General features: G+C 39.7%; 1 long non-coding RNA gene across 1 annotated transcript in view; it reads right to left on the bottom strand.

Moving 5' to 3' along the window:
- Nucleotides 1–11943: 11943 nt before the first annotated feature.
- The window catches only part of LOC105377507 (uncharacterized), a 29228-nt gene continuing 16809 nt past the window's right edge, over nt 11944–24362 (bottom strand). The window contains exon 4 of the long non-coding RNA XR_001741901.2: nt 11944–11973. This is a non-coding gene — a long non-coding RNA (uncharacterized LOC105377507). The remainder of the gene's footprint in view (nt 11974–24362) is intronic.

Here is a 24362-nt window from a genome sequence, read left to right as displayed (position 1 = left end):
GAACTTTGAAGTAGTTTTTTCCAATTCTGTGAAGAAAGTCATTGGTAGCTTGATGGGGATGGCATTGAATCTATAAATTACCTTGGCCAGTATGGCCATTTTCACGATATTGAGTCTTCCTGTCCATGAGCATGGAATATTCTTCCATTTGTTTATGTCCTCTTTTATTTCACTGAGCAGTTGTTTGTAGTTCTCCTTGAAGAGGTCCTTCACATCCCTTGTAAGTTGGATTTCTAGGTATTTTATTCTGTTTGAAGCAATTGTGAATGGGAGTTCACTCAAGATTTGGCTCTCTCTTTGTCTGTTATTGGTGTAGATGAGTGCTTGTGATTTTTTGCACATTGATTTTGTATGCTGAGACTTTGCTGAAGTTGCTTATCAGCTTAAGGAGATTTTGGGCTGAGACAATGGGGTTTTCTAAATATACAATCATGTCATCTGCAAACAGGGACGATTTAACTTCCCCTTTTCCTAAGTGAATAACCTTTATTTCCTTCTCCTGCCTGATTGCCCTGGCCAGAACTTCCAACACTATGTTGAATAGGAGTGGTGAGAGAGAGCATCCCTGTCTTGTGCCAGTTTTCAAAGGGCATGCTTCCAGTTTTTGCTCATTCAGTATGACATTGGCTGTGGGTTTGTCATAGATAGCTCTTATTATTTTGAAATACGTCCCATGAATACCTAATTTATTGAAAGTTTTTAGCATGAAGGGTTGTTGAATTTTGTCAAAGGCTTTTTCTGCATCTGTTGAGATAATCATGTGGTTTTTGTCTTTGGTTCTGTTTATATGCTGGATTACATTTATTGATTTGCGTATATTGAACCAGCCTTGCATCCCAGAGATGAAGCCCACTTAATCATGGTGGATAAGCTTTTTGATGTGCTGCTGGATTCGTTTTGCCAGTATTTTATTGAGGATTTTTGCATCAATGTTCATCAAGGATATTGGTCTAAAATTCTCTTTTTTGGTTGTGTCTCTGCCCAGCTTTGGTATCAGGATGATGCTGGCCTCATAAAATGAGTTAGGGAGGATTCCCTCTTTTTGTATTGATTGGAATAGTTTCAGAAGGAATGGTACCAGCTCCTCCTTGTACCTATGGTCGAATTCGGCTGTGAATCCATCTGGTCCTGGACTTTTTTTGGTCAGTAGGCTATTAATTATTGCCTCAATTTCAGAGCATGTTATTGGTCTATTCAGGGATTCAACTTCTTCCTGGTTTAGTCTTGGGAGGGTGTATGTGTCAAGGAATTTATCCATTTCTTCTAGATTTTCTAGTTTATTTGCATAGAGGTGTTTGTAGTATTCTCTGATGGTAGTTTCTTTTTCTGTGGGATTGGTGGTGATATCCCCTTTATAATTTTTTATTGCATCTATTTGATTCTTCTCTCTTTTCTTCTTTATTAGTCTTCCTAGTGGTCTATCAATTTTGTTGATCTATTTAAAAAATCAGCTCCTGGATTCATTGATTTTTTGAAGGGTTTTTTGTGTCTCTATCTCCTTCAGTTCTGCTCTGATCTTAGTTATTTCTTGCCTTCTGCTAGCTTTTGAATGTGTTTGCTCTTGCTTCTCTAGTTCTTTTAATTGTGATGTTAGGGTGTCAATTTTAGATCTTTCCTGCTTTCTCTTGTGGGCATTTAGTGCTATAAAATTCCCTCTACACACTGCTTTAAATGTGCCCCAGAGACTCTGGTATGTAGTGTCTTTGTTCTCATTGGTTTCAAGGAACATCTTTATTTCTGCCTTCATTTCGTTATGTACCTAGTAGTCGTTCAGGAGCAGGTTATTCACTTTCCATGTGCTTGAGCGGTTTTGAGTGAGTTTCTTAATCCTGAGTTCTAGTTTGATTGCACTGTGGTCTGAGAGACAGTTTGTTATAATTTCTGTTCTTTTTCATTTGCTGAGGAATGTTTTACTTCCAACTATGTGGTCAATTTTGGAATAAGTGTAGTGTGGTGCTGAGAAGAATGTATATTCTGTTGATTTGGGGTGGAGAGTTCTGTAGATGTCTATTAGGTCTGCTTGGTGCAGAGCTGAGTTCAATTCCTGGATATCCTTGTTAACTTTCTGTCTCATTGATCTGTCTAATGTTGACAGTGGGGTGTTAAAGTCTCCCATAATTATTGTGTGGGAGTCTAAGTCTCTTTCTAGGTTTCTAAGGACTTGTTTTATGAATCTGGGTGCTCCTGTATTGGGTGCATATATATTTAGGATAGTTAGCTCTTCCTGTTGAATTGATCCCTTTACCATTATGTAATGGCCTTCTTTGTCTCTTTTGATCTTTGTTGGTTTAAAGTCTGTTTTATCAGAGACTAGAACTGCAACCCCTGCCTTTTTTTGTTTTCCATTTGCTTGGTAGATCTTCCTCCATCCCTTTATTTTGAGACTATGTGTGTCTCTGTACATGAGATGGGTCTCCTGAATACAGCACACTGATGAGTCTTGACTCGTTATCCAGTTTGCCAGTCTGTCTTTTAATTGGAGCATTTGGCCCATTTACATTTAACGTTAATATTGTTATGTGTGAATTTGATCCTGTCATTATGATGTTAGCTGGTTATTTTGCTCGTTAGTTGATGGAGTTTCTTTCTAGCCTCGAAGGTCTTTACAATTTGGCATGTTTTTGCAGTGACTGGTACTGGTTGTTCCTTTCCATGTTTAGTGCTTCCTTCAGGAGCTCTTTTAGGGCAGGCCTGGTGTTGACAAAATCTCTCAGCATTTGCTTGTCTGTAAAGGATTTTATTTCTCCTTCACTTATGAAGCTTAGTTTGGTTGGATATGAAATTCTAGGTTGAAAACTCTTTTCTTTAAGAATGTTGAATATTGGCCCCCACTCTCTTCTGGCTTGTAGAGTTTCTGCCGAGAGATCCACTGTTAGCCTGACTGGCTTCCCTTTGTGGGTAACCCGACCTTTCTCTCTGGCCGCCCTTAACATTTTTTCCTTCATTTCAAATTTGGCAAATCTGACAATTATGTGTCTTAGAGTTGCTCTTCTTGAGGAGTATCTTTATGTTGTTCTCTGTATTTCCTGAATTTGAATGTTGGCCTGCCTTGCTAGGTTTAGGAAGTTCTCCTGGTTAATATCCTGCAGAGTGTTTTTGAAGTTGGTTCCAATCTCCCTGTCACTTTCAGGTACACCAATCAGATGTAGATTTGGTCTTCTCACATAATCCCATATTTCTTGGAGGCTTTGTTCATTTCTTTTTATTCTTTTTTCTCTAAACTTCTCTTCTCACTTCATTTCATTCATTTGATCTTCAATCATTGATACCCTTTCTTCTAGTTGATTGAATTGGCTACTGAAGCTTGTGCATTCATCATGTAGTTCTTATCTTGGTGTGGATGTCCTTTCTGTTTGTTAGTTTTCCTTCTGACAGTCAGGACCCTCAGCTGCAGGTCTGTTGGAGTTTGCTGGAGGTCCACTCCAGACCCTGTTTGCCTGGATATCAGCAGCGGAGGCTGCAGAACAGCGAATATTGCTGAACAGCAAATGTTGCTGCCCAGTTGTTCCTCTGGAAGCTTTGTCTCAGAGAGGTACCTGGCCATGAGAGGTGTCAATCTGCCCCTAAGGGATAAAGAAAATGTGGCACATATACATCATGGAATACTATGCAGCCATAAAAAGAGATTAATTCATGTCCTTTGCTGGGACATGGATGAAGCTGGAAACCATCATTTTCAGCAAACTAACACAGGAACAGATAACCAGACACCACATATTCTCACTCATAAGTGGGAGTTGAACAATGAGAACACATGGACACAGGTAGGGAAACATCACACACTGGGGCCTGTCATGTGGTTTGGGACTAGAGGAGAGATAGCATTAGGAGAAATACCTGATGTAGCTGACAGGTTGATAGGTGAAGCAAACCACCATAGCACGTGTATACCTGTGTAATAAATGTGCACGTTCTGCACATGTATCCCAGAACATGAAGTATAATAATTCAAAAAAGAAAGAAAACAAAAAGAAATTTGAACAAAATTAGAAAATAAGATTGTTGCAGGAAGTCAGGGACCCTGAATGGAAGGACTGTTGAAGCCGCAGCAGAAGAACAGAAATCATGAAGATTTCATGGACATTTAATAGTTCCCCAAATTAATACTTTTGCAATTTCTTACGCCTGTCTCTCACGTTTCTTACATTTATCTCTGAACATAAATTATGAAGATTTCATGGACATTTATCACTTCCCCAATCAATACTCTTATAATTTCCTATGCCTGTCTTTACTTTAATCTCTTAATCCCATCATCTTCATAAGCTGAGGATGTATGTCGCCTCAGGACCGTGCGATGATTGCATTAACTGTACAAATTGTTTGTAAAGCATGTGTGTTTGAACAATATGAAATCTGGGCACCCTCAAAAAGAATAGGATAACAGCGATTTTCAGGGGACAAGGGAGATAACCATAAGATCTGACTGCCTACAGGGCCGGGCAGAACAGAGTCATATTTTTCTTCTTGTAGAAAGCAAATAGGAGAAATATCATTGAATTCTTTTCCTAGCAAGGAATAACCCTGGAGAAGGAATGCATTCCCAGGAATAGGTCTATGGACAGCTGCTCTGGGAGTGTTTGCCTTATGCGGTTGAAGATAAGGGATGAAATATGCCCTGGTCTCCTGCAGTGCCCTCAGGCTTGCTAGGATTAGGAAATTCCAGTCTGGTGAATTCTAGTCAGACTGGTTGTCTGCTCTTGAATCCTGTTTCCTGTTAAGATGTTTATTAAGACAATATGTGCCCAGCAGGACATGGAACCTCGTCAGTAATTCTAATTTCGCCCTGGCCTTGTGATCTTGCTCTTCCTGTCTTCCCTTGTGATCTTTTATTGCCCTTTGAAGCATGTGATCTTTGAGACTTATGCCCTGTTCGTACCCCCTTCCCCTTTTGAAATCCCTAATAAAAACTTGCTGGTTTTGCAGCTCAGGGGCATCATGGAACCTACCAATAGGTGATGTCACCCTCGAGGCCCAGCTGTAAAATTTCTTTCTTTTGTACTCCTTCTCTTTATTTCTCAGACCGACCGACACTTAAGGAAAATAGAAAATAACCTACGTTGAAATATTGGGGGCTGGCTCCCCCAATATAAAATGATTTTATATCACAATTAGGGCTATGAAAAAAAATAAAGCAGGGTCATGGAACAGGGAATAGCAGAGAAGGAAGGTGAAGGCAAACTCCTCTGAGAGGGAGACACCAATGGAAACCAAATGGTGAGGAATCAGCCAGGCACAGATCTGGGTGAACGTAAGATCAGATATAAAGATGCATGTACCTTTTACAGAATTTTAATTCCAAGACAAATTTATAAAAACATACAAAATAAAATAATATGTTAAACATGTTTAAATTTACAAATCTAATTTAATGTTCTGTTGAAACTGAGGTATCTGCCACAGTGTGACTATTTACAAGTGTTTTAACACAGGTTTTCCGAGTCTTGCTGGTCTACAATGACGGAGCCGTGTGATGCCTCAATTTCTTGAGCTCTTTGTCTATTCATACAATCCTAAAACATCTGTTCCAATAGCACATAGTGATAACATCCAGCATTTGCTTGATGTGAACAGTCATATACCTATGAAACTCACCTGTGTTCTTTTCTCATTTGCTTAGAACAGAAGTTAGAAAAGTACCAGGTGATGACATGCATATAAACAAATGCATATCTTCTTGTATCACCGGTGAAATGTAATGGAGCTTTCTTTTGCCAACATAGAAGCACTCTCAAGGCTGGGAGGATGGAGGAAAACTCCTCATTAGCTCTGACCTACTGCAGTAGAACATTCTTCTCATAAGCATGTGCAACACAGTTGGCTAAAATTCTTAAACAAAAGCACGCAAAAATATTTCCATTTAATGGGAACAAGTTATTTTCAACATGTAATTTTTCAACCCTTTTTTATGCTGGTTTCAGAAAAAAATGTTTAAACCAGAAATAATAATATAGATGCCATTTTTGAATTTTTTCTATCTATTCATTTCACTTCAGATACTAGGAATGTCTGTTTTTAAAAAGAATTCTAATTAAATAAAAATTTTTCTTCTTCTACCAAACAAACAAATCTGTAAGATAATATGTATTTGAATGGCAACCAAATTGTTAGCTAACTCTAATTGCCCACATATCTTAGCCCAGCCCTGTTTCTTCCTCATGTCTGACTGAAGCTAGCCCCATCTCTTTCTACTCTTTTTCTACAGCTGGCAGAAGTTGCATTAAATCGCCTGCCAAAATGACTTGGTCTGTAATCTTTAACCAAGGCTGTCTATTTCTGACTCACTTCACAGATGGGAAACGGAAGTCCAGAGAATTTCAAAATATTGCCTGAGTGCATCAGCTAATTAGAGGTGAAATTGGAACAAAGCCATTTAAAAGTCTCATGACTTCAACAGTGCAATGATCGTTCCCTTACGTTTCAAAACTTCTTTCATTAAACAAAATGCTTACAAGACAGTTTGTTAAAATATTATTATTAGCTCCAAAAGAAAAAAAAACTTTAAAAAATTTAAAATATACATTCAATGGACATGAAAAAATGCAGCTAAAAACAGGAAGATAGGGAGAATGGGGCAAAAGAAAAATGCATGTAGTAAAATATTATTAAGCCATGAATGAGATGATTACAACATGATCTGTAAGAATCACGAGAGTTGTTAGACATGGGTCCAAATTTGGCCCCAAGTTTTCTGGCAGCCAACACAAAGAAGGAAATTACATAAGTAGATAATCTACAGTCCCACTAAAATAAAAATAAACTAGTTTTCAGGAATATCACAAGCAGCCCTGGGAAAGAGAAAATCCCTTCATTCTAATATAAGACTACCTAGAATGTCAGTGAGTTGGACACTAATCTCAATTGATATTTAGGCACATCATAATTCTCAATCAATAGATTGTGCCTTAATATCTATTCTCATCAACAGATTGAGAATTATGATGTGCCTAAATTCCCTAAGAAGTTTTATTAATATGCTGCAGTTTTAACTCAGCACTTTAGTAAGTGGTCTGAAACAGAATTTCTGCCATTGATTTATTAGGGGTAATAAAGGAAAGTTTCTGTAATCAAAGGCTGGCTGTACACAAGCCAATATAGATCCTTCAAAGCTTCTTAAAACCTTTAAAGTTGCCAAAGTGCACGGTGACTCTCAAATTTAGGTGACGTTTAAAAAATCAAAGAAATTTATCAATGAACTGGTATTATATAGAACATAATTTGAGAAGTCCTCTGCTAGATATCTGAAACACTGCCTAACTCACATTAGAATCTTGATGACTTATCTGGAAATGACCTTTACTGTGCAAACTTGGTAAAATAAAATAAAATAAAATAAAATACAAGAAGAAGCACGATGATATGCAACAGATAGTGACTGGTGATTGGGTATTGTAATTTTCATCCAGGAGGCAGATGGAAAAAGTGCGACTAGAATTTTCACTGGAGATGTCAGAGGTATTTGAACCAGAGTGACCTCATCTTGAATAGGGACTAAGTAAAATAAGGCTGAGATCTGCTGGGCTGCATTCTCAATAGGTTAGGCATTCTTAGTCACAAGATGAGATAGGAGGCACAAGATACAGGTTATAAAGACCTCACTGATAAAACTGGTTGCAGTAAAGGAGCCAGCCTGAAACCTCCAAATCCAAGATGGCGTTGAAAGTGACTTCCGGTCATCCTCACTCCTCCTTGTACGCTAACTATAATGCATTAGCATGCTAAAAGACACTCCCACCAGCACCGTGACAGTTTACAAATGCCATGGCAACATCAGGAAGTTAACCTAAATGGTCTAAAAAGGAGAGGTTCACCCTTTTCCCAGAAAATGCATGAATAATCCACTCCTTGTTTAGCATATAATCAAGAAATAACTATAAGAATACTCAGCTGAGCAGCCCATGCCACTGCTCTGCCTATGAAGTAGCCATTCTTTATTTCTTTACTTTCTTAATAAACTTGTTTTCACTTTACAGAGCCACCCCAAATTCTTTCTTGTACAAGGTCCAAGAACCCTCTCTTGGGGTCTGGATCAGGACCCCTTTCTGGTAACAGAAGTAGGAGTCTTTCAAGTTAGCAGAAAAGGGAATTTGAGTTCATTGTGTGTGGTCTTCTTTGCTGCAACAAGTAAAAAGCCCAGCTTCATAAGATGCCTTCATGTGGTATAAAATAACATGGATATCCTCCCTTGGATTTCCTTAAGTCTTCAAGATGTGGTTAAATTCCTTTCCTTCTCATGATGTCTTCTCATAGCACCATCAGTGCACCGTGAAATCAAACTTCTGTGATTTCAGAGAATTTATTAAACTATCTGACAAGTGTTTGCTTTGTCTCTGCATTTAGAGTGCATGTTTTGTATCTCCCAGAGAGCACAATAGCTTGTCTTGTCATGATAGTGTAAGCTGAAAAGTATCTGAGATAGGTCTCAATCAATGTAAAGGTGTATTTTGCCAATGTCATTCAACATGCCCAGGAAAAAGGAACACAAAACTACAGGACTATCTGTAAGCCATGCCTTTTCCTAAGAGGATTTTGAGGGCTTCAATGTTTAACAGGGAAAAGTGTGCAATGGGGGAAAGAGGGCATGTATAACATTACTGAATCCACATGTGGCATGTGATAAGTAGAGGGTAGAGGGAAACAGTTAATTATGTATTCTCTTGTGTTCAGTAAATCTGCACTTTACATAAAATAAAGTAAACATAGAGCAGTTACTCGTACAGACATCTGGCTTTCTATCTGTAGCTATCAGCTTAGAAACAAAAGGAAAGGCAATTTCTTGTGTGACTCAATTTCCAAGCTTAACTTTTCCCTTTGGCCTAGTGAATTTGGGGTCCCAAGGATTTACTTTCTTTTCACAATAAACACTACAGTTTTGTGACTGACTGAATGAAACAACATGATTGACTTGATTGTGTAAAAGGTTTTCTTAATAATGGTAAATGCCAAATTAAAGACTGACTTGTCTAAAGACAAGACCTGACTTGAGGATTGAAATAATGTGACATCTTTATACCTAAAATTTATGAATTTAGGCTTGTAATTATAATTAGCATCAACCTTTTAAAAGAAAAATATATGAGTTATTCCAGACAACACAGGCTAATCTAAAATAATAATTGCTAACATGTATCAAGCTTACATCTTATCTCACTTAATTCTTACAACAGCTTTATGAGACCCTATTGTCCTGATTATACAGAAGGAAAAAGTACGTTGGAGGAGTTGAGGGATTTCTCACGGTTACACAGGTGTAACTGAAATACAGGTTAGGCACTTGCCACTTGCAGAGTCCCATTATCAAGACCGATTTCTGGTATAAAGAAAGTGATTTATTCCAAAGTTAGTTTGGGGAAGAAAAACAGGTTTCCCACCTGAGGATACTACTTTGCTTTTGGAGCAGAAAGTAGACACTTTGAAAGGAAGAGGAGAAAGCGAGCAAGAGAGGGGTCCATGTGCTAGCTCTGGTGCCTTGCCTACTGTGCAGTCGAGCTGGTGACTGCTGGCCTCTTCATGGGCGGGAATAGGCCAGAAACTCCCCAGCTAGGAGATAGCAGCAGGCACGCTTTTTGACTGTTACCTCTTGAGGCAATCTCCTGGTAAGTGAGAGTTCTGTGACAGTCATGCTATTTTTTGTTTGTTTGTTTGTTTGTTTTGAGATGGAGTCTTGCTCTGCAGCCCAGGCTAGAGTGTCGTGGCTCCATCTCAGCTCACCGCAAGCTCTGCCTCCCGGGTTCAAGTGAATCTCCTGCCTCAGCCTCCTGAGTAACTGGGATTATAGGCATGCATCACCATGCCCGGCTAATTTTTGTATTTTTAGTAGAGATGGGGTTTCACCATGTTGGTCAGCCTGGTCTCGAACTCCTGACCTCATGATCCGCCTGCCTCCACCTCCCAAAGTGCTGAGATTACAGGCGTGAGCCACTATGCCCGGCCACAGTCATGCTTTCATTTGTAAATCAACTGTTAACTCTAGAGGAGAGCTCTCTCTTGCAGCACGTACTTATATGAACTTGCCCTGTACAAAGTGTCTGGTGAATGGGGTAAAAGGCTATATTTGCATTTCTAAAGGGCTGAGTAGGAAGTGGGGAACCAGGGAAACAAGAAAAGAAAATAAAGATAGAAAAAAAATGATTAATCTATCTTTTAGAAAATACGCATACTTGGTTACACAGTCAGTAAATGATAGAGCCAGAATTCAAATCTCATCTGATTTCAAATACTGTGCATTCTCTCTACTCTGTTAAGCTGCTTGCCACTGATGAAGTTGCTTTGTCTCCTAAAAGAGTATATTATCTTAAAGTTAATTCAAACTACTTGACAAAATATTATCAACTTGATGAACTATAATAATGATAAGTAGGAGAACCACAAAATGTTCAAAGAAGAAAGTCTATAAAAATAAACTCAAAATTAATGGCAGCTTTTAACTTGTTTTTGTTTGTTTGTTTTTTAATTCAAATTATTGTTCTGACCTGGGGGCCTTGTAGCTTATTTTAAGCAAAAGCTTTCCCTTATCTTAGGCTAAAAAGGCTAGTTCAAAAGAACCACATGCCCTGCAAACCTTCAGCTGCTGCCACCAACCAGGGACAGATTTTATTTTATAGAAGGTAAAGACCCATTGTTCTCTCATTGATTGTTAAATCCATTTCATGCATCGATAATAATTTCTCAGCAACACTGCAATATGTGTATACCAATAGATTTCATTTTTTTTTTAGCCACCTGCCTTGGTGTCCTGCCTGAGAAACATGTTTATCCTGGTAAAGGTTGGTGTTTGCTTTGTGTATTGTAAACACCCAGAATTGTTATTAACTATTTGGTTACTTCAGTTGTCCTTTGCAATCGTTATCTGACTAGATATTTACAAATGCAGACAGAAAACAACCTCATTCACTTAGGAATTCTTTAAAGTACCTAATGCTTTCTTTAGGAGAGAGGTTATATCAAGTTAAAAGTTCTCAAGGAAAGAACTGGTCTCAGAATTTTTGCCATAGCCACCAGCCACAGGTGGCTATTGAGCACATGAAATGTGGCAGGTTCAAATCGAGATGTGAGTGTAAAATATACACCAGATTTCAAACAGTAAGCACTAAAACAGATGGAAAATAGCTCCTGAACAATTCTTATATTGATTGTTTGGTCAAATGAAATCTATTCTTAAAATTAAATTTTAAGGCCAGGCGTGGTGGCTCACACCTGTAATCCTAGCACTTTGGGAGGCAGAGGCAGGCGGATCACCTGACGTCACGATTGTGAGATCAACCTGGCCAACATAGTGACACTCCAACTTCATTAAAAATACAAAAATTAGCCGGGCATGGTGGTGCACATCTGTAGTCCCAGCTACTTGGGAGGCTGAGGCAAGAGAAACGCTTGAACAAGGGAGGTGGAGGTTGCAGTGAGCCGAGATTGTACCACTGCACCCCAGCCTGGGCAGTGAGCCGAGATCACACCACTGTACCCCAGCCTGGGCTATAGAGTAAGACTCCGTCTCAAAAAAAAAAAAAAAAAAAACTAAATTTTGCTTATTTCTTTCTACATTTTTACAGGAAAATCCAAAATTATATATGTGTCTCGAACTATATTTCTACTGGATGTCTCCATCCTGGACTTTTCTACAACAAATAACTGTCACTCTTTATAATTTTAACTCCCTGCATACCGTTTTCTGCCCACCATCTTTCTGTTTACAGCTTACTTGTTTTACCATCCTGACCTCAGCAATCTTTCTGGGATCTCTGATGCACTGAACTAACTAACGTTTCTCTGTCCTTCACCCCTTGAGTGTGCTTGCCCCACTCTCACCTTGTTGCACATGGCGATTAATGATTAGTGATTTCAGTCACTCCTTGCCATTTACTCTCAGTTCTCTTGTTCTCTCTCACTTGGTCACACTTCTAGAGCCAAAATTCTATCCTGGATAAATTGCACTCTCCAGTGATTTGGTGCCTGCTCTCTGGCAACTGAATGTGGCTGGAGAAAAAAAAATAAACAAAAACTCAAAACCAAATTTACTAGATTCAGTTTAAAATCATAACCATGAATGTCAAGTGGACTCTCCACATTGCTAGGACATCACGCGATACATTTTGAGATCATTCTTTTGTTTTTGTTTTTGTGTTAGTTTTGAGACAGCATCACATCTCTCTCTGTCACACAGTCTGGAGTACAGTGGCACAATAATGGGTCACTGCAATCTCTGCCTCCCAAGTTCAAGCGATTCTTGTGCCTCAGCATCCTGAGTAGCTGCAACTACAGGTGCATGCCACCACATGTGGATAATTTTTGTATTTTTATTAAAGGTGGGGTTTTGCCATGTTGGCCAGGCTGATCTCAAACTCCTGGCCTCAAGTGACCCACCTGCCTTGTCCTCCCAAACTGTTAGGATTACAGGTGTGAGCCACTGTGGCTGGCCTACTAGACCATTGATTTTATCAATTTTCACACCTTAGCCTCTCTCTCAAACCTCTATTTCTACTTTCAGCTGATTACTCTGATATCTTTTTCACTAAGAAATTTCAAATAATCAGAGGAATATTACCATTTTGATATCTATAGCCTCCTAGTATGTATTCCCATATAATCTGAATTCCTATGTTCATATCACAAATGAACTATCTATTGCAAACTCTCTATTTGGGTGTTAAATCATGATTCATCGAACTCCTCAAGAATTGTGCTCTGACAAATAGGCCTTCTTCCTCCCACATATTTACTTTTTAGGGCATTTATACTTACGAATTTATAAATTTATAAAAATGGTATTATGTCTCTAATTTATGAAAAAACTTTTATTGGTTACATTTTCCGTGTCGGCACCATTTTATTGTTTTGCTTAGTAGTAAAACTCCTCAAGACAGTGGTTTGTTATTTGCTTCTACCACTTTTCTAACACTGCCACATTGCTGAAATCAATGGTCAATATTCAGGCCTCATTGTGCTTGACCCATCAGCAACATTTGACACAGCTGATCACTATGTTCATTACCCTTTCCAGCTTCTGGTAGCTTTTAGCATTCCTGAGCATGCGGCAGCATTAACTTCACCTCTGCTTCACCTCCATCTTCACACAGCTTTCCTTTCTGCACTTTTCTGTGTCCAAGTATTCTTCTCTTTTTGGTCTTTTATGAAGACACCAGTTATTCGGATTTAAGAACCACCTTAAGTCCAGGATCTTGAGATCCTTAAATAATTATATTTATAAAAATCTTGGCCGGGCACAGTGGCTCACGCCTGAATCCCACCACTTTGGGAGGTTGAGGTGGGCAGATCACGAGGTCAAGAGATCGAGACCATCCTGGCCAACATGGTGAAACCCCATGTCTACTAAAAATACAAAAATTAGCTGGGTGTTGTGGCATGCAACTGTAGTCCCAGCTACTCAGGAGGCTGAGGCAGGAGAATTGCTTGAACCCGGGAGGCAGAGGTTGCAGTGAGCTGAGATCATGCCACTGCACTCCAGCCTGGCAATAGAGTGAGACTCTGTCTCAAAACAAAACAAAACAAACAAACAAAAAATTATTTCCAAAGAAAGTCACATTCTGAGATTCTAGATGGACATGGATTTTGGGAAATACTGTTTTACTCTTTGCAGGACCTTGGTATCCTTAAATAACTATAACTATAAAGATCCTATTTCCAAACAAGGTCATAATTTAAAGTTCTGGATGGACATGAATTTTGGGAAATACTATTTTACTACAGTGTGTAAAATCTACATGAGAAAAAATTGACAATCATTTATGTTATATTATCACCCAGGAATTGTGCCTTTTCAATGTTCTATTGTTTATTTTGCTATCTTTGAGTTATTTTTGTTTTATTTTGATCTATTTTTTTAGAAAATGCATTTACCACACAACTAATAACCTTCTACTAGAATAGTGCCCAAAGTTATGGAAATGATGAGAAATCAATATTTTTGTTCTAAATAATTGACAGTCAGGTAAATGTCTCCCTGATGTTCTAGTACACAGAGATAAGAGATCAGAGTTGAGAAAACGAAACTTAAAACTGCAGGGAGAATATTTGAAGAAACCCTGTCCAAGTCACCTTGACCCATGAAATCATGTACTGTGTGGACACATAATTTGGCAAGCTAATGGGCCTACAAGTTAAGCATTAGTGGAGTCCTTCCCCATCTCTTGACCAATAATAGGAATACTTTCAATATTTATGGCAAACCATGGAGTTGTTTTAAACTGAAGCTGTCCCACTAATGGTGTGGCTGCAGCTGAGTGACAAACAGAAACCTCCCACAAACTGAACCAGTAACTGCCCAAGAAACTGGAGAACTGAAATAAGAAACTCATCAACAGGTTCCCAAAAGCCTTTTGTTTTCAAAAGACTGAACATACCAGCTAGGTATGGGCTTTTTAAAAAGTACAAATGAGGCTGAGCACGGTGGCTCACGCCTGCAATCCTAGCACTTTGGGAGGCCGAGGCAGGTGGATCACGAGGTCAGGAGTTCAAGACCAGCCTGACCAATATGGTGAAACCCCATCTCTACTAAAAATACAAAAATTAGCCCGGTGTGGTGTCACACGCCTATAATCCCAGCTACTCAGGAGGTTGAGGCAGGAGAATCACCTGAACCCAGGAGGCAGACGTTGCAGTGAGCGGAGATGGTGCCACTGCACTCCAGCCTGGGCAACAGAGTGAGATTCCATCTCAAAAAAAAAAAAAAGTACAAATGATTAGGATATATCCATGGCACATTTAATAAATGTTTGTTGATAATGATATCACAGGCATGTAGTATTTACTTATGTATATTACTCCTGTGCATATTATTTTTAAAAAGAGTTGCTTCCTATATTTAAAGATCTAAGGATGAACATTTCATGCAATCAGTACATGAAAGTAAAAATCAAAAGAATTGAACAAGTTCAACATCTTGCTAGCTACGGTCATGTACAAAAAATGGAATAAAGAAATAAGCAGTATGTGATTCACTTCTGTTTTGACCCAAGAAGTTTAGGATTTTGACTGGTAGTATATATGATAGAAAAGTATAAAATAAATATAACATAAGTAAATTCTTATTTAAAAAGAGCATCCAGAAGCTAGTATTTCTATATGTTGCCTTAAGTCTCTCTTCATAACCACTCAAATTATCGAGAGCTATAATGGTCAGGAACTCTATCTCCTTTTCTACAGCTAAACATGTTGGTGCTTTAAATTGGGAAACCCAATTTTAAAGCATTACAAGTTTGAGTTATTAAATTAGCAATGTTTTTTTCTTCCAAAATATATTTACATTATTTACTTTTAATAGATAATTGTGGAAAATGAGTGATATGGTTTTGCTTGGTCCCTACCCAAATCTCATCTTGAATTGTAGCTCCTGTGATTTCCACATGTTGGGGGAGGGACCCAGTAGCAGGTAACTGAATCATGGGAGCAGGTCTTTCCCTTGCTGTTCTCATGATAGTGAATAAGTATCACGAGATCTGATGGTTTTATTAAGGGGAGCTCCCTTGCACATGTCCTCTTGCCTGCTGCCATGTAAGATGGGACTTTGTCATTTGCCTTCTGCCATGATTGTAAGACATCCCCAGCCATGTGGAACTGAGTCCATTAAACCTCTTTCCTTTATAAATTACCTAGTCTCAGGTATGTCATTATTAGCAGCGTGAGAACAGACTAATACAGTAAATTGGTACCGGTAGAGTGGGGAGCTGCGATAAAGATACCCAAAAACATGGAAGTGACTTTGGAACTGGGTAACAGGCAGAGCTTGGAACAGTTTGGAAGGCTCAGAAGAAGACAGGGAGATGTGGGAAAGTTTGGAACATTCTAGAGAATTGTTGAATAAAATGCTGATAGTGATATGAACAATAAAGTCCAAGCTGAGGTAGTCTCAGATGGGCATGAGAAACTTGTTGGAAACTAGAGCAAAGGTGACTCTTGCTATGTTTTAGCAGAGACTGGTGGCATTTTGCCCCTGCCCTGGAGGTCTGTGGAACTTTGAACCTGAGAGTGATGAATTAGGACATCTGGTGCAAGAAATATTTCTAAGGAGAAAAGTGTTCAAGAGGTTACTTGGGTACTATTAAAAGTATTGAGTTTTATGTATGCACAACAATATGGTTTGGAATTGGAACTTATGTTTAAAAGGGAAGCAGAGCATAAAAGTTCAGAAAATTTGCAGCCTGATGATGCCATAGAAAAGAAAAACTCATTTTCTGAGGAGAAATTCAAGTGAGCTGTAGAAATTTGCATAAGTAATGAGGAGTCAAATGTTAATTGCCAAGACAATGGGAAAAATGTCTCCATGGCATGTCAGAGATCTTCATGGCAGCCCCTCTCATCACAAGCAGGGAGGCCTAGGAGGAATAAATGGTTTTATGGGCCAGGCCCAGGGCCTTGCTGCTTTGTGCAGTCTCAGGACGAGCCGGTGGGTACACAGAAATCATGGATGAAATTGGAAATCATCATTCTCAGTAAACTATCGCAAGAACAAAAAACCAAACACTGCATATTCTGACTCATAGGTGGGAGTTGAACAATGAGAACACATGGACACAGCAAGGGGAACATCACACTCTGGGGACTGTTGTGGGGTGGGGGGAGGGGGAGGGATAGCATTGGGAGATATACCTAATGCTAGATGACGAGTTAGTTGGTGCAGCGCACCAGCATGGCACATGTATACATATGTAACTAACCTGCACATTGTGCACATGTACCCTAAAACTTAAAGTATAATAATAATAAATAAATAAATAAATAAATAAATAAATAAATAAAAAGAATTGAGTTTTGGGAACTTCCGCCTAGATTTCAGAGGATGTATGGAAATGCCTGGATATCCAGGCAGAGGTGTGCTGCAGGGGCAGAGTCCTCATGGAGAACCTCTGCTAGGGCAGTGCAGAAGGGAAATGAGGGGTTCCAGCTCCCACAGAGTCCCCACTGGAGTATTGCCTAGTGGAGTTGTGAGAAGAGGGCCAAAATTCTCCAGACCCCTGAATGGTAGATCCACTGACAGCTTGCACTGTGTACCTGAAAAAGCTGCAGACACTCAATGCCAGCCTGTAAAAGCAGCCAGGAAGGGGACAGCCCCTGCAAAGCCACAGGGGCAGAGGTGCCCCAAGACCATGGGAACCGGCCTCTTGCATCAGTACAACGTGACTGTGAGACATGAGTCAAAGGAGATCATTTTGGAGCTTTACAATTTGACTGCCTTGCTGGATTTTGGACTTGCATGGGGCCTGTAGCCCCTTCATTTTGACCAATTTCTCCCATGGAATAGTTGTATTAACTGAATGCCTGTACCCCTATTGTATCTAGGAAGTAACTAGTTTGTTTTTGATCTTACAGGCTCATAGGTGAAAGGAACTTGCCTTGTCTCAGACTGAGACTTTGGACTGTGGACTTTTGAGTTAATCCTGAAATGAGTTAAGACTTTGGGGGACTGTTGGGAAGGTGTGATTGATTTGGAAATGTGAGGACATGAGATTTAGGAGGGGAGAGGGGCAGAATAATATGATTTGGCTGTGTCCCCACCCAAATCTCATCTTGAATTGTAGCTCCCAAATGTCATGATGATAGAGACAGGAGGCAGCCAAAGGTTCCGCTACCCTTCATAACCCACCTACCCCAGCCCCCTCCACCCCTGTGAAACCCTACCTTCAAGTCTAAAACAGCCTGAAGGCTGAAAAACCAGACTGCCAATCTGGATGAAGCCCGCCCTTTCCTGATTGACTCTGAATAATGCCCAGCTGTGCACTGGAAGAATGGGACGTAGCCTCAGGAAATGCATGTCATTTGTGGGGGGTGGAGCCTGGCTTCTCCTGTTCCTGGGTGGGGACCTGGGATTCAGTTTGTGAGGTGGGAAACCTGCTCACAGGACTCTTTCCTGCTTTGCTGAGAGTTAGTTTTCCTTTTTGCCTAATAAAATAAATTTTGTTCCCCTTCAACCTTTAACGTGTCTGTGTGCCTAACTTTTCCTGGTTGTGTGACAAGAACCCAGTTTTTTTCTACAACATTTTTGGTGGCCAACATTCGGCTTGAGGAAGGGTGAGTACCGTGCAAACCAACACATCTTTTTTCCTTTTGCTTCTAAGCCTTTTTCTCCTCAGACCTCTTCTGAGGGGAGAGGAAATTGTGCACTACCCCACCCTGATGGCTGCAGGCATACACAGGATGGGCAAATAAATGGTGGGTTCCTCGCTCCCCTCCCTGCCAGGGCTGGGCTGCATGGCCCAAGGGTGCCCAACAGCAGGCTGGTCAATGCTCCCTGCCATGCAACCATGGAGCCTTCCCCTCCCCCGGCCAAAAATTGTACTCTGATTGACTGCAATTAAATATATCTCCCTTGTGGAGGAAACTATTTGCATAAGAATAAGAGGTTCTTCCACAGGTATCTTTTCTTTTCTCCACCCTGTCAACAGGTAACACAGCCCTGCATTTAAACGTCTTTTCCTTTTCTCCACTGGGTCAGCAGTTGACTTAAGCAAGGGTTTTTGTTTTTTGTTTTTTTTCCTTTTGGAAGATGTTTTGCTAGGCCAGGAGTGATGGGGATCATTGTTTATATTTTCTGTAGAGTTTTAATTGTGACAAATTCTTTATGAGGTTGGTTTTAAGCTGTAGCCAATCTGGTATGCTTTGCATGATTTTCTTTTTTTTTTTTAAAGATGGAGTGTCACTCTGTCACCCAGGCTGGAGTGCAGTGGCACCATCTCAGCTCAGTGCAACTTCCACTTCTCTCTCTCAAGTGATCATCCTGCCTTACCCTCTCAAATAGCTGTGATTACAGGCATGCATGCACCACCACACCCAGCTAATTTTTGTATTTTTAGTAGAGACCGGATTTCACCATGTTGGCCAGGCTGGTCGCAAACTCCCGACCTCAGGTGGTTCACCTGCCTTGGCCTCCCAAAGTGCTGGGATTATAGGTATGAGCCACAACTCCAGGCCTTTGCATGACTTTCTGTATGGTCAGCAGTGAACTTTGCTGCAGGCCTCCATCTTGGTTTATGGACTTGGGGGCATGACGTGTAACTCCATGGCAATGTTTTGCTTAGCCTCTGCACAACCCAGGTTCAGTCATGGCTTAGCAACTGAGTCCTTTCAGGTTTGATATCTGTGTAACTTTTCTATTTGTTGATTCTCTTCTCCTCCATGAACCATCTTGGATTTTCCTTTCTCTGAGGCTTTAGTAAAGTTTGAAAGGCTGAAATACTGGCTTCTTGGTATGGCTAAAGTCAGGTAATAGGAGATTTAAAAGGATTTTCTTAAGGAGTGCTCAACTAAATTAAAGATGAATATCTAAGTTACAGGTATATTTAAAAGGCCTTTTTGTTTTATTTTATTTTTTTCTCTTCTGGGATCTTGCTTTGCTGGAAAACGGCTTTTTCTCAGTTGGCTGTATTATTTTTCTCCATTCTGCTTTGCCAATTTTAATGCACACAAGAGAGGGGAGAGATCTCTGTCTTCCTCATTGAACCCCAGGAATTAAAAGTGGATAGATCCCTCTCAAAATCTCTTTTCGCCTCCCAGTAATGCCTGCCTATTAGGCTCTAAAAGCTGCTTGTTTTCCTAGCCCTCCCTCTTAAAGGGACCAATAATCCAAATAGAAGATCAGAAAATGAAAAATCGTATGGCTACTGGGTTTTCTTCTTCCTGTCTGTGTAGTTATATATGTGTTGGGTGTGTAATGTCTATTTAAAAAAAAGGTCTAATTAATTGGCCTAAAAGAAGATAAGTGCTTGGATCAAATATTTTTTAAAGGGTAAAATAAAAGCTGTGGTACCTTTCAGTTCATATGACTTTCATCTTCAAAAAATTTAAACAGCCTAAAAGATTATTGGTAAAGTGCAGATGTCATCAAAATATAAATAGGTGGACTAAATTATGCAGGTCAACTGCTAGGTTTGCTAAATGTTTTAAGGTCATAAACTGCTTTTTGGGTTTTGAGAACTATTTGTCTTGCCTGCTCCACAATTGGTAAGGCCTGGGGACATATAGAAATAACCACGCCCTTAATTATGCTGGAATTAGTCAAACCTTGGATGCACCTAGCACATAATCAAAACAACTTACCAAGTTTTACATTAAAGTTAAAAATTGCTAGGAGTAACCATTATAACATGTAATTGAAACTACTGGAAATAGATTTACATGCAAGCTGTATAAGAACAGTAGGATGTGTTTTTAGTAAAAGATTATAAGAAGGTGTGGAAATGTAAGTTCTTGCTTAGGTTTAAAAGATTGTTTTGAATTTGATAAGATAAAGCTAAAAGTCCAAACAAGTTGTAAAGGAATTGTACAAATTAATCTTGCAAAAATTCAATATGTGAACATATTGACTAAATTCAAAAGGATATTATATGGTTTTCTTGTAAATTGAGCATTAAAGTAAAAGCAAAACAAGGTTCTCTTAAGGCACTAATCTGCTCTTTAGCAAAATTTTTAAGGGGTTATAAAAAGTTTTTTGTTTTTTAAATTTCTGATTCATCATTTTGGCAAAATAAATAACAAGGTAATCTGGAGTTCTATTTCATAATATCAAGTGTTTTAAACCGCTAACACATTTAACAGGCTTCTGAAAATCAAATTCAGTTTCAAAATTTTCTTTCCTGATGCCTGGCTTTTTGATGCTTCAGAGAGCCCTTGGAGTATCCAAAAGAGAGGAAAACAGGATTATTTGACATATTTAGGTATATGAGATTACCAAAATGGTGTTCAATATTCTTTAGGTTATATTTTGGTAAATAATACTAATATGTGTTTCAAATTTGTATGGGATTTTAAAAATTCTAATGTCTGAGTATACGCTATCATAATTAAGGTTTTTATGTTAAATAATTGTAAATGACAGAGATAACCAAGCTTCTTTGTCAATTGTGTTTCTAACTGTAACTAACCTGGACATTTTGTTATTCACAGACAATTTTCTTGTTTTAATTCTTTTCAAAAGATGGCTTATAATAAGCTGTAGAACTCTGACAGGTGCTCTCAAATACAGGTTTCTGATAACTTTGGAATAAAGGGAAAACACACAGAACTCATGAAGAGCTAAAATATTCACAAACCCATAAAAAAACTGAGGCAATCTTTTTGACTTTTGCTTGGAATATTGCTGATCCTTGTTTTTTTTTCAGAGTCAAGGAAACTTATTTTGAACTATTTATGACTTTTAATAATTGAGTAAGGTATACTCCTGTCAACAAAATACAGAGCATGTTTGTCTCTCTGCCTGGCTTCTCCAGAATTTGCAAACTAGTTGTGAATATTCTTAACTTATGGCAATATAAATGTTTGCATCAGTGCAATAAGAATCCATTTTCTTTTGCAAGAGGGTGCAATTGATAAACTAGTTTTTTTACCAAGGTGTTGACTGGAAGGGTATGCTTCCTTTTAAGGAGTCAAGCTCAACTTGCAGAGCCGATAAGAGTTTCTTGAGAAAACTGGCCTCATACCCTTGTCTACACAGTCCCTCTACAGGGTTTCTGACCTGTGGTTAGTAAAGAATGTCACTTTCTTACAGGCTCAGGAGCTCCAAGTTTATCTTGGGACCTTAAGAGGAGACGATTACCCAACTCACAGGTATTTGAGCATATAAACTGATGGCTGGGCTTGGCTTTAAAAAGTCTTATCTGAGATTCCTCGTGGAACAGATTTCCATCAAAACCAATGTAAAAGGCCTATGTAGAAATAGTTATTCCTTCTGCACTTTATGCAAACACTCAGCCCAAGTGTAAGATTAAAGTCTATTTTACAAACAACTCATCCCTATCATGATTTTTTTTAAACAAAATTGAGGATTGGAGAGAGAGAAATTATGTTTCAAAACTTATCACACATTTGTTATTAAATTCTAGACTCATCAGTTGTTTTTAAGTTTTTGCCTACATTTTAGAGTAACCCTGCTTGTTCCTGTGAACCAACCAGTAATCTCCAACTAAAGCTCAGAAGGAGTAAAAGGGATGGGTAATGTCAAAATTTTGGATCAACATTCTAGTTCTGAGCAATTAGCCTGCAAATCCTGCCAGGTGATGGGAATAAATAGGATGCCCATCACCTGGAGGTTTCCTTTTTGGGAAAGTAAGACCAAGGGAGCTAACCAAAGCCAAGCCCCATGCACCCAAATCTTAGCAAAGATAACTATAGCCACCAGTTATCTGGGCATGTCACAAGACGCCCTCTTCCTTGTTGGAGGAGGACTCAATTCCACAGCCTCACCTAAGCATTTGGCTTATAATAAGAAATCCATGCTAGCCTCTGAGACACATTTTTGTCCCAAACTCAATTCTAAGCTTCACATCAAAGCCCTGGGGGCAGGGGGAACTGGATCTGAAGGACCCAGATGCAGATGATAATGCAAGTTAAAAGGCACAATGCAGATGAGTGTGACTGATTCCTGCTGAATAAGCCAAGCTTCCCATTTCATGAATAAAGGTCACACTAGTATCCATGGCATAAATGAGGTCTGGAGAATCCAAAGGCTATGGACAGCAGGGGAGATAGGGTATACAAGGGTAAAAGCGAATACTCTCACCCCCAGACCCCCCTGTTAACACAAGTGAAGACCACTTTGACACCCACCCTGTCACAGTATCTGGGACTTGGGGATACAAGGAAGGAGGAATCTGCTCCCCTTTTTGTAGATGAGTAGCCATTCATCATTAGTCTGTATACCTTTCTTTCTTTTTTTTTTTTTTTTTTTTTTTGAGACAGAGTTTCACTCTTGTTGCCCAGGCTAGAGTGCAGCAGCGTGATCTTGCCTCACTACAACCTCCACCTCCTGGGTTCCAGCAATTCTCTTGCCTCAGCCTCTCGAGTAGCTGGGATTACAGGCATGCACCACCATGCTTGGCTAATGTTTGTATTTTTAGTAGAGACAGGGTTTCACCATGTTGGCCAGGCTGGTCTCAAACTCCTGACCTTAGGTGATCTGCTTGCCTCGACCTCTCAAAGTGCTGAGATTACAGGCATGAGCCACTGCACCCGGCCATCTGTACCCCTTTCAAATGCATCCTGAGTTTCTAGGACCCCTTTGAAAAAAAAGACCCTTCTTTTTTCGTGTTTCTCCTCTGTCCTCTCTTCACAGATAGGTAATTGTGTTTCCGTACTATGGGACACCTCACCCAGATGCATTCTCCAAACTGGGGAGAGTTAATTTCTCAAACTTTAACCTAGTTTGCTTAGGATTGGGCTCAGGGGAAGGGAACCCAGAAGCCTGACATGCTGGCTAAAGGGTAAAAGTTTTTTTTTTTTTTTTTACCAGTTAGGTTTTTGGCCTCCCTCTCCCTGTGCAAACTGGTAAAAGGCCTCAGAATTTTTTAGCTGTCCTCAACCCCACCCCCATTTTGTTTTGATACATGTTTTCTATAACCTGGTTTATTTCTCACCTTCAGGCAATCAAACTCCAAACGTTCATGCAACTGGAGACTTGGATGAGGGCCCCTTTTGCCAGGGACCCTTTGATAGGCTTCTGAGGGAGCTCTGACTGCCGTTTTCCCCAAGCAGTGCCCCCTGTCAGCAGAAAGCAGTTCAGATGAGTCTTTGTCCTTATCCTTATTCCAACAGCAGTTAGGTATACTTCTTTAGAGGGGGAAATGATAGAGACAGGAGGCAGCCAAGGGTCCCCCAGTGAAACCCTGCCTTCAAGCCTAAGATAGCCTGAAGGCTGAAGAACCACACTGCTGGTCCGGGATGAAGCCTGCCCTTTCCTGACTGATTCTTTCTGAATAGTGCCCACCTGTGCACTGGGAGGATGGGATGGAACCTTGGAAGTGCATGTTGTTTGCAGTGGGGAGGAGCCTGGCCTCTCCTGTTCCTGGGTGGGAACTTGGGATTCAATCTGTGAGATGGGAGACCTGCAAACAGGACTCTATCTTGCTTTGGTGAGAATTAGTTTTCCTTTTCATCCAATAAATTCCATTCCCCCTCACCCTTCAAAGTGTCTGTGTGCTTAACGTTTTCTGGTCCTGTGACAAGAACCCGGTTTTTTGTTTTTTGTTTCTAAAACAATGGGTGGAACCTGACGGGAGGTAATTGAATCATGGGGGTGGGTCTTTCCCATGCTGTTCTCATGACAGTGAATAAGTCTCACAAGACCTGACGATTTTATAAAGGAGAGTTCCCCTGCACACGTCTTCTTGCCTGCTCTCATGTAAGATGGTACTTTGTCCTCATTCATCTTCTGCCATGATTATGAGGCCTCCCCAGGCATGTGGAACTGTGCATCAATTAAACCTCTTTCCTTTATAAATTACCTAGTATCAGGTATGTCTTTATTAGCAGTGTGAGAACAGACTAATACAATGAGTAAACTCATTTTAATTAGTCTTTCTAGAAAAGGTGCCAATCTGAAGAATTTCTTAAATGAGTAACCACAGCATAGGTTATAATGC

The sequence above is a fragment of the Homo sapiens genome, chromosome 4, assembly GCF_000001405.40.
Source record: "Homo sapiens chromosome 4, GRCh38.p14 Primary Assembly".
NCBI classification, from domain to species: domain Eukaryota; kingdom Metazoa; phylum Chordata; class Mammalia; order Primates; family Hominidae; genus Homo; species Homo sapiens.
This window is presented reverse-complemented; position numbering and strand designations above follow the sequence as displayed.